General features: G+C 43.5%; 1 protein-coding gene across 10 annotated transcripts in view, besides 3 other annotated features; it reads left to right on the plus strand.

Annotated features, from left to right (window-relative positions):
• The window catches only part of TMEM132B (transmembrane protein 132B), a 475,992-nt gene that overhangs the window by 241,501 nt on the left and 216,681 nt on the right, over positions 1–17,810 (plus strand). The gene's annotated exons all lie outside the window — the stretch shown is intronic.
• Positions 5,345–5,543: a silencer, noted in NCBI's record as "fragment chr12:125917777-125917975 (GRCh37/hg19 assembly coordinates)". NCBI's record gives its function as "represses an EF-1alpha promoter that drives an FKBP-Casp9 reporter gene in an ReSE screen in K562 erythroleukemia cells {active_cell/tissue: K562}" and the evidence as "EXISTENCE:reporter gene assay evidence [ECO:0000049][PMID:32094911]".
• Positions 7,199–7,458: an enhancer, noted in NCBI's record as "active region_7322". NCBI's record gives its function as "activates an Ori minimal core promoter by ATAC-STARR-seq in GM12878 lymphoblastoid cells {active_cell/tissue: GM12878}" and the evidence as "EXISTENCE:reporter gene assay evidence [ECO:0000049][PMID:35858748]".
• Positions 8,116–8,638: an enhancer, noted in NCBI's record as "NANOG hESC enhancer chr12:125920548-125921070 (GRCh37/hg19 assembly coordinates)". NCBI's record gives its function as "activates a minimal SCP1, AML or CMV promoter by ChIP-STARR-seq in primed H9 embryonic stem cells {active_cell/tissue: H9 hESC(primed)}" and the evidence as "EXISTENCE:reporter gene assay evidence [ECO:0000049][PMID:30033119]".

A 17,810-nucleotide genomic window follows, 5' to 3' on the forward strand; every position in this document is an offset into this window, starting at 1 on the left:
AGGTCTGCTGGCATGATGACTTAAAACCAGAGCCTTTACATCAGATTTCTGATGGGGTGTTGAAGAAACAAACGAAGGGTAACTTGCCAAGTACATGCTAATGGAAAGTACTTTTTTTTTTTTTTCTGAGGAAGAAGGTCTCTCTGTGTTACCCAGATTGGAATGCAGTGGCATGACCATGGCTCACTGAGTTTCTATCTTCTGGGCTCAGTGATCCACCTCAGCCTCCCAGGTAGCTGGGACTACAGGCATGTACCATCATACCTGGCTAATTTTTCAATTATTTTTGTGGATACAGGGTCTTGCTATGTTGCCTAGGCTGGTCTCGAACTGCTGGGTTCAAGTGATCCTCCTGCCTCAGCCTCCCAAAGTACTAGGATTACAGGTGTGAGCCACTGCACCCAGCTGTAAATGACTCTTTATTTGGCCTTTTGTGTTGGTATTTTTTAGAAACCCGGGCCTCTCCATGAAATCATTTTATTCTTATGTCATTATTTTTTATGCATTTATCAATTTATTCATTCATTTATTGTTTTGACCTATTTATTGCCATTATGTCACTATTATTATGACATTATATCATATTATATCATTATTATATATGTCATTATGAAGCCTTCCTCAGATCTGCTGCAAATCTTTTACAAAAGCAATCAAATGAACCTTTGAGTGGTTGCCTCTGCCCCCAACCCTCCATCTTCCTTTTTCTCCGTTTCCTAGAGAAAATTCTCCATGATTTGAAAGTATTCATTTAACACAGCCTGCCCCAACCAAGCTCACCTCCTGCACCATGCCTTTAAATCTAGATAAAAGCTAGTGTGCCCAGTTATTGTTCTCTTTTTGGGTGAGAAGAAACCTTCTGTGTCTTTTGAAATGACATTTTATTTGATTTTATCCAATTATGTGGCCAACATCCTATGTTGCTTTTCATAGGTACAGGCACACGTGGTCCCATGCTATGTTGACCATGAGCAGTTTGCAGCCTGTAGCTGAGTGTGGCTAGTTGGGTAACCTGATGGTGTTTGCAGAAGGGGTGTGCGGTCTTCACCCCTGAAGATATTCCCCTGTCTTATCACATGATCCTCTTTTAAAAATAATAATAGACTTTATTTTTCAGAGTGGTTATAGATTTACAGAAAAATTGGGCATATACTACAGGGATTTCTTGTATTAGCTTCCCACTCACTCTATACCCAGTTTTCCCTACCATTAGTATGGTATATTTGTTACAATTAATGAACCAATACTGATATGTTGTCATTAACTAGAGTCCATAGTTTATTCAAATTTCCTTAATTTTTTCCTAGTGTCCTCTTTCTTTTTTTTTTTTCAAGAGGGAGTCTCACTCTATCACCCAGGCTGGAATGCAGTGGCATGATCTTGGCTCACTGCAACCTCTGCCTCCTAGGCTCAAGCAATCCTCCTGCCTCAGCTTCCTAAGTCGCTGGGACTACAGGCATGCACCACCATGCCTAGATAATTTTTTTTTTTGTATTTTTTGTAGAGATGGGGTTTTACAATGTTGGCCAGGCTGGTTTCAAACCCCTGACCTCAGGTGATCCGCCTGCCTTGGCCTCCCAAAGTGCTGGGATTACAGGTGTGAGCCACCGTGCCCGGCCCTAATGTCCTCTTTCTGTTCTAGGATCCCACATGACATTTAGTCATCGTGTCTCCTGAGGCTCCTCTTGGCTGTGACAGTTTCTCAGCCTTTCCTGTTTTAGATGACCTTGACAGACGGTCTTGAGGAACACTGGTCAGGGGTTGTATTGAAGGCCCCTTTATTGAACCTTGTCCGATTATTTTTAACTTAACTAAACTGAGGTTATAGGTTTATTGGGAGGTAGGCCACAGAGGTAAGGTGCCATTTTCATCATGTCGTATCAGGGTACATGCTACTCACATGATTTATGACTGTCGACCTTGATGGCCTGCCTGATGTCGTGTTGCAAGGTTTCTCCACTGTAAAGTTACTTTTCCCTGCTTCCCCCCTTTCCACACTGTACTCTTTGCAAGGAGGGCACAGTGCGTGCAGCCCACGCTGAAGGGGTGGGGAGTTATGCTCCCTCCTTAAGGGTGAAGTATATACAGATGTATTTGGAATTCTTCTTGCAGCTCCACTTTACTTTCTGATGCTAATTGCAACTAGTCCTTGAGCTCTGGGAGTGAAGGGACTGTGTTTCCTTCCACAATGAATCACTGTTACCCAGCACTGTACCGTGCCTGACACCACGCCTGACCGTGCCTGACACATATCCTTAATAAAATATTACTAAATGAATGAATAATGCAGGATGATTTGTTTAGGCACACCTGCCCTCTTGTAAATTTCCCTTCCACCCCTTAACAGATTGGACCGTAGCTGTGGGGTTGTCGGGTGAGCGCACTGGCCGGGGCTGTCTGCACACTGGAGAGCTAGATGTCACATCATTGATCAGAATTTCACGGTAGCTCATGTAGATAATGATATGAAATGTGCAGGGAGCTAAAACAGGGTCATGTGATAGAGGGGCCTGGGGCTACTGGAGATAGTGTGGGCGGAAACCCGGTCTAGGGAAATGCTGTTGGCTCTGAGATGGGAGGAATGAGGAGAAGCCAGCCACTCAGTGACTTGGGGAAGGACTTTCTAGGCAGAGGGAAGAGCATCTGCAAAGGCTCCCAGGGAAGGTGGAGCTGGGTTGGTAGGTTGATGGCCTGGGCAGCACAGAAGTCACAGAATCCAGCCGAGCTTGAACCAGGTCTTCACGACGGTCATCTCTGCATCCAGCGTCCTGTGCTTCAGTTCAGCAGATGTCTATCAAGTGCCACCCACCTTCTGAGTCCTGTTTTGGGTTCTGGGAAATCAGCTGGAAACAAAACCAGTGAGTCGGTCCTGGCTCTCCTGGAACTTACATCTATAGAAAGGAATATGCAATTGTATGTCAGGTGGTGATAAAAGCTAACAAGAAAAATAAGGCAGGTAAATGGACAGAGTAACTGGGAGGTTCTGCTTCAGATAAGGCGGTCAGGGAGGGCCTCTCTGACGAGCAGAGCCCTGAAGGGAGTGTGGGGAGGAGGCAGGGAGAGATGTGGGAGGAGAGCATCTCCCCAGAGTCCCTGAGGTGGCCGGCCCCAGTATGGTCAGGGGTTGAGCTGGCATGGAGTGAAGGAGGGGGCAGCGGGGACCAGGTCAGCAAGGTGGCCAAGGGCTGAATTATATAGGACTTCATAGGCTCTGAAAAGACTTTGGATTTTATTCTGCATGGGATGAGCAGCTACTGCAGGGCTTTGAGGGAAGTGATGTGATCTACTTTACCTTTTTTGAAAGATCTGCTTGGAGGAGCAAGGGTGGAGCCTGGGAGCCCAGGTGAGGGCTATCGCCATCATCCAGGGGCTGTAATTGAAATGGAACTTGCCTTTCTGCTTGTTGCCTTGGTAATGGGGGGTCCCCTTCGTGTTAATGATGACATGATGAGAAACGCTGCATGTAAGCAAATGATGGCAAACAGACAGAGAAGCAAATGATCTGGCTAACTCTACTTCGGTGGAAAGACACCAGCCCCCTGGGAAGGATTTATGGAAGGCTTTGAGCATGGGCAGAAGGTGAGAGTGTCAGGAGAGTCTGGGATAAGGACCGAGAAATCGTACTGAGCGACGTGCTTAGGACTAGATTGCTTTGTGTGGATGTCTCAGTATAAATAAACCAGGTCTTCCTGTGGGCCACGGCTGCTTTTCTTCCCCCTGACTCTACTGCTCTGGGCAGGAAAACCCACGATTGGGAAGAGGCTGTGCTCAGCCTTCCAGGACGGTGGCTTTTGGGTGCTAGACATGGTGGCAGCCAGCTGCATTGTCCTTGGTGCTCCCAGGTATGTGGAGGGGATCACAGTGAACAGACAGGGAGTCAGTGAATGGCGAGGTGGGACAAGTGGGTGGTTGGCTTGAGATACAATCTGCAATGCAGAAGGCTCGTGGTGGGTGGACAGCCATTGGTCATGGGATTCTTAGGGCTTGCAGTCTGAAGCCTGGGGACTCTTGAGACCTGGATTCTGCTCTGGAAACCTCTGGTGACTTCACTGCAGTGTCCACTTCCTTTCTCTGGCTCTCGCTTTTGCCATGTGTGAAATAGGGGGCCGTGTTTTTAAACGCCCTTTTTCCTGTGCTAGGGAGACAGTTCTGATCCTGGGACATGGATCATGGGGTGCTCTGCTGCCACGCTGCCGGGGTGTTGGTGGGGTGTGACAGGGGCTTGATTTTGTATGCGCTGTTTGGGGAATTACTCTTGCGAATCCTGTAAGCAAAAGCAAGGTTGGGCAGACGCCATGGTCAGCCAGGTCTGCATGGTCTGCCAGGCTGGTTATAGCTCTGGCATTCAGTCAGGTGCATCTATCGTTTTATTTTAATTGGAACATAACCACTGTAATCACACAAGCTTGGGAAATTGGAACCTGGAGGAAGCATTCTTTTGTTGAAAGACAATAGTGAATGGGCCAAGGGAATTCCTTGAATATATATATATATATATATATATATATATATGTATGTATGTGTATATATATATATGTATGTGTATATATATGTATGTGTATATATATGTATGTGTATATATATGTATGTGTATATATATGTATGTGTATATATATGTGTGTGTGTATATATATATATATATAGAGAGAGAGAGAGAGAGAGAGAGAGAGAGAGAGAGAGAAAGAGAGTGTTAGAATGTGGCCTGCAATGCCCATGGCTTGCTGCCTAGCCAAGGGATGGGGCCTGTTGTTTATGAGCATTACTTTTGCTGGTTGGGAGCATTTTTAGAATTTCATTTTTGATATATCAACTTGCTTACTTAACAAGCAGTGCATTAAAAAGCATGAAAACTGACAAGCACTGGCTCATCCGTCCCTTTGATGGGCCGGCCTTGGTGGAATCGGCATCTGGTATCTGTTGGTGTGATGCTTGGTGCACACATGTCGACACTGTTTGTACTCAGATTAATCTGCTATGTGAGAATGTTTTCCCTTCCCAAGAGAGTTCTAGGCTCCACAGACACACTTCGTAGTTCACTCATTTGGTCTATGAGCAGTGGACAAAAGCACCTCAGAGTGGAATGCCAATTTGGCCAAGAAAAGTGGGAACGAGAAGGAGGCCTTTCCTTAAGCAGCACCTGCATCTTACTTTAAGCAAGTGTCGGAGCAGACACTTTATGTCTTCTAAGAATGCCGCGTGCCCCACGCTGTGCATGGTGAGTCCTGCCAGTAACTTCTGAGTCAGCCCCACAGCCAGGGTCCTTGCGGTGTGCTTATTTTTAAATGTTTTTAATAACTGCAGGTTTACAGGATTTAGACCTGGCCACAGAGATCACCATATCCTTCATTAGTTTTAAAGGACTGGAATGAGTGAAGCTTCCCTAGATGCTTGTAAAGGTATTGGCTGTGGAACGTCACGGTCATCGGGGCAATGCTGGAAGCCTTTAAGAAGGAGGTGTCCCCCGACTTGAACTCCAAATGGCTTTATTTCTGGAAGGACCCTCGGGTCATTCCTCTTTCAAACACTCTCCGGCTCAACTGGGATTTCTGTGCCACGAGTCTCAGCTGACTGCCCTCCCTAGAACGCTACCCTCAGTCTAGACAATGATATTTTGTATTTTCTTTTTTTTTTTTTGTCTTTTTTTTTATTATACTTTAAGTTTTAGGGTACATGTGCACATTGTGCAGGTTAGTTACATATGTATACATGTGCCATGCTGGTGAGCTGCACCCACTAACTCGTCATCTAGCATTAGGTATATCTCCCGATGCTATCCCTCCCCCCTCCCCCCACCCATTATTCACAATAGCAAAGACTTGGAACCAACCCAAATGTCCAACAATGATAGACTGGATTAAGAAAATGTGGCACATATACACCATGGAATACTATGCAGCCATAAAAAATGATATTTTGTATTTTCTATCTTCTGCCTACGCCGAAGCCTTTTTCTTAAAGTTCGCAATGTAATGCCATGTAATTATCTCTTTTCCTTTCGTATGTGTTATTTCGCCTTGGAAGGGGGCTCTGCAAATTGAGTATTACATATGAGATATTTGTGGGTGTATTAGTTTCCTATTGCTGACATAACAGATTATCAAAAACTTTGTGGTTTCAAAGGATATATGTTTATTCTTTCTTAGTTCTGAAAGTCAGAAGTCTAAAATAAATTTCGCGGGGTGTTAAGTCAAGGCATTGCAGAGTTGCCTCCCTCCTGACAGCTCTCTGGGAGGGTCTGTGTTTTCACCTTTTCCCGCTTGCAGGGGCTGCCCACATTCCTTGGCGGGTGGCCCTGTATCCCTCTGACCTCTGCAGCCACGGTCACGTCTCATTCTCCGACCCTGACGCTCCTGTCCCCCTCTAGTAAGGACCAGTGTGGTCACATCAGGCTTACCTGCTAATCCAGATAATCTCCCCACCCCAGGAACCTTAATCTAACCACACCTGCAAAGTCCCTTTGACCATGTAGGGCACCGTGTTCACAGGTTCTGGGGATTAGGACGTGGCTGTCTTATGGGGCCACCATTCTGCCTATTCACAGTCTGTAATGTGTGTGTCCTTGGCCTGTCCGGGGTCAGCTGGCTTCCATCTGGGTTTGGCCCTTGGGAGGCCATGGTGGGAGATTAGAGGGTGGGAGGGTGGGGGAAGCCGGGGCCTCCCTCCCCATCCCAGCCTCAGTGGCCGCCCTGGCAGTGGCTCCCCACAACACCTGATTCCAGCCCCTACAGGAGGCGCCGGCTGTGGTCAGACGTCGCGTTCCATCGAGGGGTCTCCAGGCTCTGGCCACTGCCAGTTCTCCCTTGCCCTTTCAGCCTAGAGGTGGTCGCGACTTCTTGCTGTTCTAATCTCTGTGTTTTTTCACCATCCTGTCTGCCTTCTCAGATTTTCCTTTGCTTGGGTAACCAATTCCCTGCACCGAATTCCTTTTATTGTAAACCCCTGAAGTGGTGTGTTTCTTGCGCACACTGGTCTGATGCAGCGGGGTCAGGAGCGAAGAGCCCCTCCTCATGCTGAAACTTCTTTTCCGTGTAAAACTCAGAGTGCATGAGGAGAGAAGTCTGGGCCTCCTGAACCAGCCCTGTACTCTCTCTTACTAAGCGTTTGGGGAAACCCTCGGGAAAATCCCCTTTGTGGGGGCTCAGGTGTCCTCTCATCCTCCGCACCTCTGCTTTGTACAGATTGTCTCTTCTTAAGGGGAGCAGGGGGAGGAGAAGATTGTGACCACTGTCTCTTGTTCCCTGACATATCTTGCTCAAGGTGTTCCTTCCAAAATGAAACTGAGGACTGAAATGTGTGACCGTGAAACCCCCATCTCACATCCCTGGCTGGAAAACCCCACTTGCTCTTCTGAATTATGTCTGTATGAATAAACAAGGCAGACCTTTGATCCCTTGATGTCCAAAGAAGGCAGATGAGAGCTGTGGTCAGTTGCCAGGAAGGGCCTAGAATTTCTGTCACGGGGACCATAATTAAAGAGAGACTGGGGTGCGGAAGGGGTGGAGCCCTCAGACCTACCCACCCGGGGCTGGGACGGCCCCCAAGTTTTCTGCAGGGGGAGGGGTTAGACACATCCTCCCTGGTCGCCAAGCAAGGACATACCAGCCCCAGCATCCAGGACTGCTTGGAAACATTTATTCCTTCAGCGCGTATTACAGAGCCCTCCCAAGAGCCAGGCACTAGTATAGGTGCTGAATTTACCGCACTGAACAAAATGGTCAATGTCCTCCATGAAGTTTATATTCTAGTGGGAGGAAACAGACAATGATAAAGATTTACTAACAGATGGAAGAAAGTGTCAGGGAGAAAAATAAAGCAGGAGATAAGAATGGAGAATGCCGGTGTAGGGAAATCCCTGATTTGGGGGCAGGAAGTCAGGGATGAGCTCACTGTGAAGAGGTGCTGGACTGGAGGCCTGAGAGATGGGAGGGAAGGGACAAGTGGACTCCCCGGGGCAGGAGGAGCTAAATGGAGGGGACCTCTCCTAACCAGGGCAGCAGGGAGGCCTGTGGAGCTAGAGCAGATGGAGCAGAGGTAGTGTCAGAGGGTCTCGGTGCTGATGTCTGCCTCTCCATCCTGCCCCTCGGTGCCCCACAGGGAGGTCCTCTGCTTCCCTAACAACAGTCTCCTATGAGCTTTGAAGACATCCTTTCCTCCCTTCTGTTCCGAGGCAAAGCATCTGGTGGGCGTTGCGGTCTTTGCCTCTTTCCATCTGGTCCCTGTGCGTGGTCATGTTCCAGTGGAAAGTAGAAAGGGTTTGGGCTCCGGAGTCCAACTGTCTGAACTGCATTCTCAGCTAACTGTGTGAGCATGAGCACATTGTATGAAGCTCATTGTTAAAATTAGGATCCTAATGGCTGCACCACAGGTGTCTTGGGATGGCCAAGGGAGTGAGTGTGGAAGCTACAAGCCCAGCACACCAGGTGCTCAGTCCATCTCAGCCTCACTGTTTGCCATGCTCTCTTCCTGTTATGGAATCGTACCTCTTCCCCTGTACCACACACACAGGCTTATTTGGAAACAGGCTCATGGGAGTTGTAATTATTTAAGAAGAGGTTACACTGGAGTTGGGTGGGACCTAATCCAAGATGACTGGTGTCTTAAAAAAGGGAGAAATTTGGACACAGACATGCACACAGGCAGAACGTCGCATGAAGAAGGCAGAGGGCGTGATGCATCTACAAACCAAGGAACTTCGAAGATTGCCAGCAACCACCAGAAGCAAAGGGAGACGCACAGGACAGGTTCTCCCTCACAGCTCTCAGAATGGGGAGACCTTGCTAACACCTTCATATTGGACTTCCAGGCTCCAGAACTTCAAGGGAATAAATTTCTGTGGTTAAAGCCACTCAATTGGTGGTACTTTGTTACGGCAGCCCCAAGAGGCCAATCCACTTGCCTTCATCTTTTTTGGTCCACCTCCCTGGAACATAGAACTATGGCTGAACTATTTATAGTCAAGTGGCTGGCATGGTTCCAGCCCATCTTCTCCAAGTCTCAGAAGCATCTCCCCAGAATACGCAAGTCCCTTCTGCCACCTGCAAGTGTCCTCTCTGGATGCCAGGTGACTTTTGACCCTCAAGCCAGGTCATCTCTAGAGCACAGGTGTGTTCAGGTCTATAATTCTGATGGATGCAGTTTTCAAGGGCCATACCACACCCTTGTTTAGCTGATAGGATTTGGCTATGAGCTTCTACAAAAGAGAGAGACTCAGATAACACCTAAAATTCAAGACAGATGTCTTTGCACCCACCATCCACTCAGGAGGGGCTGCCTGGGAGGGAGCATGGGATTGGGGCAGAGTGACCCCGCTCCTCCCAGGTTTGGATCCGCTTTCCCTGGCCTGCTCGTGGTGTGAACATTCCGATGCGCTGACTATGATTCTGATGCTGGCGGATCTGAAATCTTAATGTAACATGACTTCAACACAAGGCAGCTACTTTAAACAAAAGGGATGGACTTTTGGGTTGTTTTCATCTGTGATTATTGTGCATAGTGCTGCTATAAACAACCCTGTATAAGTTTTTGTTTGAACACCTGTTTTCAGTGCTTTTGGGTAGGTGCCTAGCAGTGGAATTGCTGGTTCATATGGTAATTCTATGTGTAATTTATTGAGGAACTGCCAAACTGTTTTTCACAGTGGCTGCACCATTTTGCATTCCTACCAGCGATGTAAGAGGGTTTCCATTTCTCCACATGCTCATATGGATAAAGAAAAACGTAGCGTCTCCATATATTGGGATGTTATTCAGCCAAGAAAAGGAATGAAGCAGCAACACAGGCTACAACATGGAAGAACCTTGAAAACATGACGCTGAGTGAAAGAAGCCAGACATCAAGGGCCACATGGTGTGTGATTCCATATATATGAAATGTCCAGAATAAGCAAATCTATAGAGACGGACAGCAGAGTGCCAGGAGCAGGGCTAAGGGGGAGTGGCTGCTTAATGAATATGGGTTTTCCTCTTGGGGTGACGAAAACGTTCTGGAGGTGGGTGGTGATGACTGCACAGCATTGTGAATGCACTTAATGCCGTTGACTTGCTTGCTTTACAATGGTCAATTTTGTGTTCTATTTATTTTACCACAACAAAAAATAAAACAACAAAAAGGGGGAGAAGATTTTTCTCTGCAAAAGTCTCTTGTAATGTGCTTTATGGCCACTTTAAGGGATATTCAAAGGCTGTTTCTAATGTAGTTTTTCACCTTCCATGTAGTCTTTCAAACTAAACTCCTACAAGAATCAACTGCATTCTTCTCCCTTTATTGAGACTTTCCAAGAATTAAACATATTTTTAAGAATTCAAAGGTAATATCTAATACCATCAGGGCTGATATGTCCATCTGGGCAGTAACTCTGTAAGGAAGGAGGTTTTTGGAGATTGGCAACGGCTCTGCATTTAATTCCAGAGAGGTGTAACTCTTAAGGACTAAGACTCTTAAAGACTAAGGAAGCAAAGCTAAAGCACCCACTTCTAAGAACCAAAGCAAAACTGGCAACAATAAGCTGGTGCCCACGATCTGCTATACATGCAGGTGCGTGGTATGGCCAGGTCAGCAAATAAGCTAATTGTTTTCTCTTCTTTAAAGGGACAAGTTGTTTTTCTTTTCTTTAAAAAAAGTTAAGAGCTATTTCAAGCATACTTAAAACTGTAGAGGATATTGTAGCAAACATCCACCTATCTACCACACAGCTGTGTCACAGTTTAATATTTCCCAAAATACGCTGCAGAGCTGGAAAAAAGAAAGCAAGAAACAAAACTCTCTATTGCATTCTCCTTCCTCCTTCTTCCTTCCTTCCTTAAGGTTAACCATTATCCTGATTTAGGTGTTTATCAATCTTATGAATGTTTATATAATTTTACTACAGAGGTACCTTTCCACAGGCCGTGTTTTTTGGTGTATTTTCAAACTTTATATGAATGGCATTGTGCTAAAAGAATCATTCTGCAATTTGCCTATTTTGCTGAAGGTAGCATTTCCCAAGTTAATCCCTATTGATACATGTAGTTCTAGTTCTTTTATCCCTTTGCTGTGTAATATTCCATGATACAGACATTCCATAATTTATTTTCCCATTCTTCTGTTGAGTAACATTATTTAAAATTTTTGCTATTATAGATCTTAGTGCCTATTCTTACACACAAAATCTTCAATAATTGTTTTGGTTACCGTAGCCCTGTAGTATATCGTTTGAAGTCAGGTAAGGTGATGTCTACAGCTTTGTTCTTTTTGCTTTGGATTGTCTTGGCTGTTCAGGCTCTTTTTTTTTTTGGTTTTATATTAATTTTAAAATGGTTTTTTCTAGTTCCGTGAAGAATGTGGTTTGATAGGAAGAGCATTGAATAGCATTGAATCTGCACATTGCTCTGGGCAAGGTGGCCATTTTAATGATGGTAATTATTCCTATCCATGAGTGTGGAATGTTTTTCCCTTTGTTTGTGTCAGCTCTGATTTCTTTGAGCAGTGTTTTGTAATTCTCATTGTAGACCTCTTTCACCTCCATAGTTAGCTGTATTCTTAGGTATTTCATTCTTTTTGTGGCAATTGTGAATAGGACTGTGTTCCTGATTTGGCTCTTGGCTTGGCTACTGTTGGTATGTAGGAATTCTTGTGATTTTTGCACATTGATTTTGTATCCTGAGTCTTTGCTAAAGTTGTTTATCAGCTGAAGGAGCTTTTGGGCTGAGATTATGATGTTTTCTAGGTATAGAATCATGTCATCTGCAAACAGGGATAGTTTGACTTCCTCTCTTCCTATTTGAATGCCCTTTATTTTTTGTCTTGCCTGATTGCTCTGGCCCAGACTTCCAATTCTGTGTTGAATAGGAGTGGTGAAAGAGTGCATCCTTGTCTTGTGCCAGTTTTCATGGGGAATGCTTCCAGCTTTTCCCCATTCAGTATGATGTTGGCTATGGGTTTGTCATAGATGGCTATTATTATTTTGAGGTATGTTCCTTCAGTACCTAGTTTTTTGACAGTTTTGAGCATGAATGGATGTTGAATTTTATTGAAAGCCTTTTCCGCATCTATTGAGATAATCACGTGGCTTTTGTCTTTAGTTCTATTTATGTGATGAATCACATTTATTGATTTGTGTATGTTGAACCAACCTTGCATCCTGGGGTTGCAGTCTACTTGATCATGGTGGATTAGCTTTTTGATGTGCTGCTGGATTCAGTTTGCAAGTATTTTGTTGAGGATTTTTGCAAAAATCCTTTCATCAAGGATATTGGCCTGAAGTTTTCTTTTTTTGTTGTGTCTCCTCCAGGTTTTAGTATCAGGATATGAAAATGAAAAGATTTTTCTGGAAGCTAGTTGTTGTATTTCTTGTTCTGGATTGGCATTCTTCTGGCTTGATTTCATGGATATGCTCTTGGTGTTTTGTCAGAGAAACACTCACACCATTTAATGTCTCTGCTGTCAAGAGACAGAATTAAATTATTCCTCTTTTTAAAAGAATGATTTAAGTAGGACATAATGAATGCAAAATGCTGTTGTTAAATATTGGCAGATAAGCTGATGGATTGGTTATCACTTGGATCTTGCTATAAAGGGAAAGAAAGTGATGTTTAATCATTTTCAAAGACTGAAACAGATGATGAATTTGATGCATTTTGATGCTGAGTGACTCATTAGGACCCGCGATTATTTTCCCGTTAATAAATGAACTAGTACCTTGCATCTCCCCCCTGATTAAACAGTTGCTAAGCAAAGAAGTCTTTGCTTCCAAGGAGACACCAGATTTCCTGAACTGTTTAAACATGTGAACTATTGCTACTCAGTGTTGGTTCAGTTGCAATCTCCAATATGTAGGCAACAAATCAGTGGCCCATAAACCTGTTTCATTTGTTTTGCTAAGTGTTTTTTTCTTTCAGTTTATTTATTTTTATTAAAAATATCAGGAGATCTGACTAAAAATACATATTTCAGGTGTCTCTGGAGAAAGCGGAAACTCAAGTCAACCTTGAATGGGCACAACTGCTAGAGCTGACTGTGGCTGCTCAGTGTAGAAGGGGCTATGCTCTCTCGTTTCCCACAATCCCCTCTGCTCCCTGCTGTTCCCCAAAAACTGAAGCTGGGTATTAGTTGGCGTTTATGAAATGCACAGTGGTGTTTTTCTTCTGGCAGAGAAGCATTTCTTGATATCACCACTTATTAGCCATGTGACCTTGAACAAGTTATTTAAAATCCTTTGGCCTTAGTTTCTTCAACCTTAAGATAGGGAGAATTTTGTCTCTACATGATAGGGTTGTTGTGGGATTAAATGATTTCATCAATGTAAAGTGCTTGCAACATTGTCTGGCACAGAATAAATAACCTGTAATATTGATTGAATTAATATTATTAGCATCCATGTCTAGATCAAAAGTTGGGGGGAGATAGACAAAGAGTGATGTGTTTTCAGATAAGTGAAAAAGCACATTTCTTTGTAACAAAGAAGAGTATTTCTATATGATTAATATGCAAACAAAAGGTTTCCAAGTTGAAAGAAACAATGTAAAACACCCATTATAAATAAACCTTAGTACCTCCGTGATAAATACACAGAAAGGATGTATGATGAAACACTTAATGAACCAGTGAAAGGGCTTAGATTTCACCAGGGTTTCTTTCTAAATGCAAACATGGCGAGTTTTGCTTTGGATGCACTTTTGTGTTAAACCTGTGTTGGTCTCACTTTGAAGTTATCTGCTGGCCCCTCCAGGCCCTTAGGTCCCTCCCACCCTATTGGGGTCTGACAGAGTAGCCCAATGTGTTACAGAAAGAAGTGACTCAGATCCAGGGGAAAGAGGCTTTTTAAAAGGCTGGTGTAGCCTGGGATTTGAAGGCAGAGAGCTGGAATCAGTGGTGGCTCTTCCATCTCCGATCACTCGTGTGAATTTAGTCAGATAACAAACTCTTTCTGAATCTCTTCTGTAAAATGGGGATTTTGTTGCAGGCTTATGGTGGAGATTAAATGCAATAGAAAATGAAAAGCAACCCAGCCTTTGTAAATGTTCTTTTTGATGGTTTCTTCCCTCAGCAGATATGCTCCCTAAAGACTTAAATCCAAATGCAGTATTTTTGAAAGATTTTTTTCCTCTAAAATTTATATTCTTTTAAAACCCAAAATACACCATTAGGGGAATGAAAATGGATCCGTCAAGAGAATTGCAAGGTACATTCTGTTTTTCTCCCCTCTTTTGGATTCCACTTTTACCTGTTTCAAAGGCAACAACAAACACAGCAACAGCTTTGCCAGAGGCCTAGGCCATGATTTATTGAGGAGGAGAAAAGGCAGGAGGTTTAGAAGGTGTTCAGGAGAGAACATTGCTGTGAAATCTGCTGTCCGTGTGCTGTTACTGCCTTTGAGGAAATAGAGGCAGGAAATATATGAAATAGGGAACCAACAGATAGTTTAAATTTTATGTCAGCTAGTGACCATAGGATCAGGAATTTGAATATTATCCACTCATTGGGGGATGTTTTGTGATCTCCTGGAATTTGCTAGAGGGAGGCAAATACTACAGTTATTTAAAATTACCATTTTGGGGGTCAGAGCTGAGCTCAAATCCATGCCCTGTCATTTACTAGCTGTGTGGCCTCAGGCAGGTGACTCAGACCCTGTGACTCAGTTTCTCATCTGTGACACAAGGAAGAGAATAATACCTCCTTGGAGGTTTGCTATGGGGATTAAGTAAATAATTTATATAAAGTAGTATTTAGTATAGTTTACGGGAACAGAACAAGCCCTTATTAAATTACATCCTCAAAAAGATAAGAGAAGATGCTCTATTCAGGACGATGATCAGGTATCAGATAAGGGACTCTACTGCCCTGAGCCAGGATGACGGCAGGTGTGTTTTTCTGTGGCACCTTTTGATCTTGTATAAAATAATAGTCTGTCCTGGAAGTGGAGTTGAGTTTCAGGCACATAGAAATGCATATCTTTGTGTGACATATCTGAGACTTATTTTAGTTTTGACAAATACTGAGCAGGTTAAATGAAGTTGATGTGGTGGTCAGGGTTGCCCCTGGTCGCTAGTCGACAGTTCTAAGATACTAGCCCATCCCTCTGAGTGTGAGAAAGTGGGCTAAACGATGGATGTGGTTCTCCAGTTTCTCCTTATCCCAGGACACATGCAGACTTTCATGTAGAATTATGATTCCCTTACAGCATCTCAGATCTTGAGGGACCTCCCTTGCTGAGAGAGGCATGCTGAGAGCACAGAGTCTCTGAGCAGCATTTCGGGGAGCTGTGTCTGCCTTGGGTGATGCAGCCTGGGGTGCTGCTATTTTTCTTCTCAATTGTAGAAAGTGGCCTTCTGTTGGCTACGGTTTTACTTACACATAGCAGGAGACCCAGGTGTGAGGTGGAGGACTGTTTCTTGTGGTTCAGGAGAAGATCACCATCGTAAACTATTGAGGGGAGAAGAGGGCCAGTTGTAATTTTCAGGTCCTTAAATGAAACATTTATGAAGCTTTCTTTGGTGTAAACTTTGGTGCATGGAGGGATTGTAGGATGGCCCCTTTCTCTGTGAACTCCAGCAGAGTCAGAAAACTTCATGAAGATGGGAGTGGGGAGGGCCTTGATTTGGTCTCTCCTGTGATTATGTGTTAGTCCCTCAAAGACTCTTAAGTTGCAGCTCTGGGATGCCTGCTGGGAAGAATTGACGGGATTCTGTGCTTTAAGAGGGTTTTAGGGAGCTGGGTAACAATCACTGCTGTGGGATTTGTTTTCAGTCTGTTTTCTTGGTAACAGTTTCTTAAGATAGAAAGTGAATTTATCTTAAATTGAAATGGAAACATTATAATTAAACATTTACAAGGAAAGCAGATTTATAGCTATGGTAGTTACATTTTTTTCAGTGTCAACAGATGCCATTGAAGCTAAATAACCCATTGAAACTGCAAGAAAAATGTTTTTTTTAAAAATATAAAATCTGTTAACAATGGTAGTCTTTATTCTACTTGTTTTCTCTGGTGCCTTAGTGACAATAAAATAGAAAGCAGTCGTGCACCGTGAAATTGAGCTGAATTGGGAAGGGCAGGGGTGATGAAAGTGTATTTTTTTTTTTCCTGTGGTAATTTATTAAAGTTGCCTTCACAATGGTGGGGAAACATTATATCTATTTGGGAGTGACTACTGGGTTGAAGGAAGTGTAGTTTCTTAACTATCAGTCCTTTCCTCCTTTCTCTTAAAGGTGAAGTTAGGTCATTGCTCTCATATACATACAAAGAACTGGAATCTGTAACAGGCTAAAACACTCCTAAATATTGGCACGACATCTCACTTTGTAAATTCATGTTTTATAGTTTGCATGGAACATTCTTTATGTTACTTTGTGCAATTTTTAAAGTAATTCAAGGTCATTTTTGAAAAATTGAAAAACATGAAGTTCAAAGAACCATTGTTAACATTTTCCCCCTACTTCCATAGTGTTCTTATTTTCTGAATTTTTTATGTTCTATATAAACAGTTTTCTCTCCTGTCTTTCTTTTGGCTTAATATTTTATTATAGCTGTTTATAACTGTAATTGTAAACTTTTTGTAAATCTTTCGATAGCCTCTTACTACTCTTTCATATAAATGTTACATAATTTAATTTCCCTAATGGAACCAGTAAGGTTGTTTCTAAATATTTTGCTATTATCAATAATCTTTGAATCTTTGTCTTTCAAAGTATTCCCTTAGATGCATTCCAAGAAGTGATGGTACTGGGTATTGATACTTTTAAGATTTATTACATGCTCTGGAAAACTGCTTCCCAGGAAGTATCAGTGAATTCTTGAGATGGTCGGTTTTATGTGTTAACCTGGCTGGGCTGTAGTCCTCAGTTATGCAATCAAACACTAATCTAGGTGTTGCAATGAGGAATATTGCAGATGTGATTAATGTTCATAATCAGTTGACTCTAAGTAAGCGAGATTATCCTAGATAATCTGGTGGGCCTGATTGATTAATTGAAAGGCCTTAAGAGCAGAACTGACCTTCTCCAGAAGAAATTCTACTTGTAGAATGCAGCCTTAGCTGCTGCCCGAGAATTTCCACCCTGCTGCCTGCCCCCACAACCACGGAAGGCAATTCTTTGCAACAAATCCCCTTAACATATATCCCCTACTAGTTCTACATCTCCAGTTGAACCCTTACTGAAACACTGCTCCAAGAAGTATATGAACTGCTCAACTCATCTCATCCTCAGAGTATGGGTCTAAGGACATTAACATTTTTGCTTATTTGATAAGTGTAAAGATACAGTCAATTATTTGCTACATTGATTTTCCTCTCCAATGGAAAAAAAAAACTTTTCAGATATTTATTAATCATTTGTATTTCCACTTTTGGTAATTGTCTTTTCCCACTGATGGAAGTGAAGCTTTGTGGTTGACGAGGTGGGCTCTGGATCTGTGTCCTGACCCTATCACTAGAGACCTTAGGCATAGAACCCCTTGCTGCCCCAGTCTCTTCATTTGTAAATTGGCTATACTAATGTACCTACCTTTCCCAGTTATAAATGTATTACTCCTCAATCTCAAATTCACCCTTCACCACCTGCTCTGAGACAATGGGCCAAAGTCTAAGCCTTTCTTCTCTGCAGTGAGTACGGTATTTAAGCTTTGTCAGCAGAGGACACTGGAGGAACATGGTAGGAGGAGGGATCTGCATCTGGAGTGCTGCTCTTTTTTCTTCTTTTTCCTGCTGACATCTGGCTGCAGTGGTGCATGGGCAGGACATCCAGTGTTAGTCACTCCACCCCAGCTGTGAACCCTGAGCGTGTGATCCCTTGGCAAGCTCACAAGCTGGCCAGGCCTGGGTACCATCTTGTTGG

The sequence above is a fragment of the Homo sapiens genome, chromosome 12 (assembly GCF_000001405.40).
Source record: "Homo sapiens chromosome 12, GRCh38.p14 Primary Assembly".
In the NCBI taxonomy this organism is placed as follows: domain Eukaryota; kingdom Metazoa; phylum Chordata; class Mammalia; order Primates; family Hominidae; genus Homo; species Homo sapiens.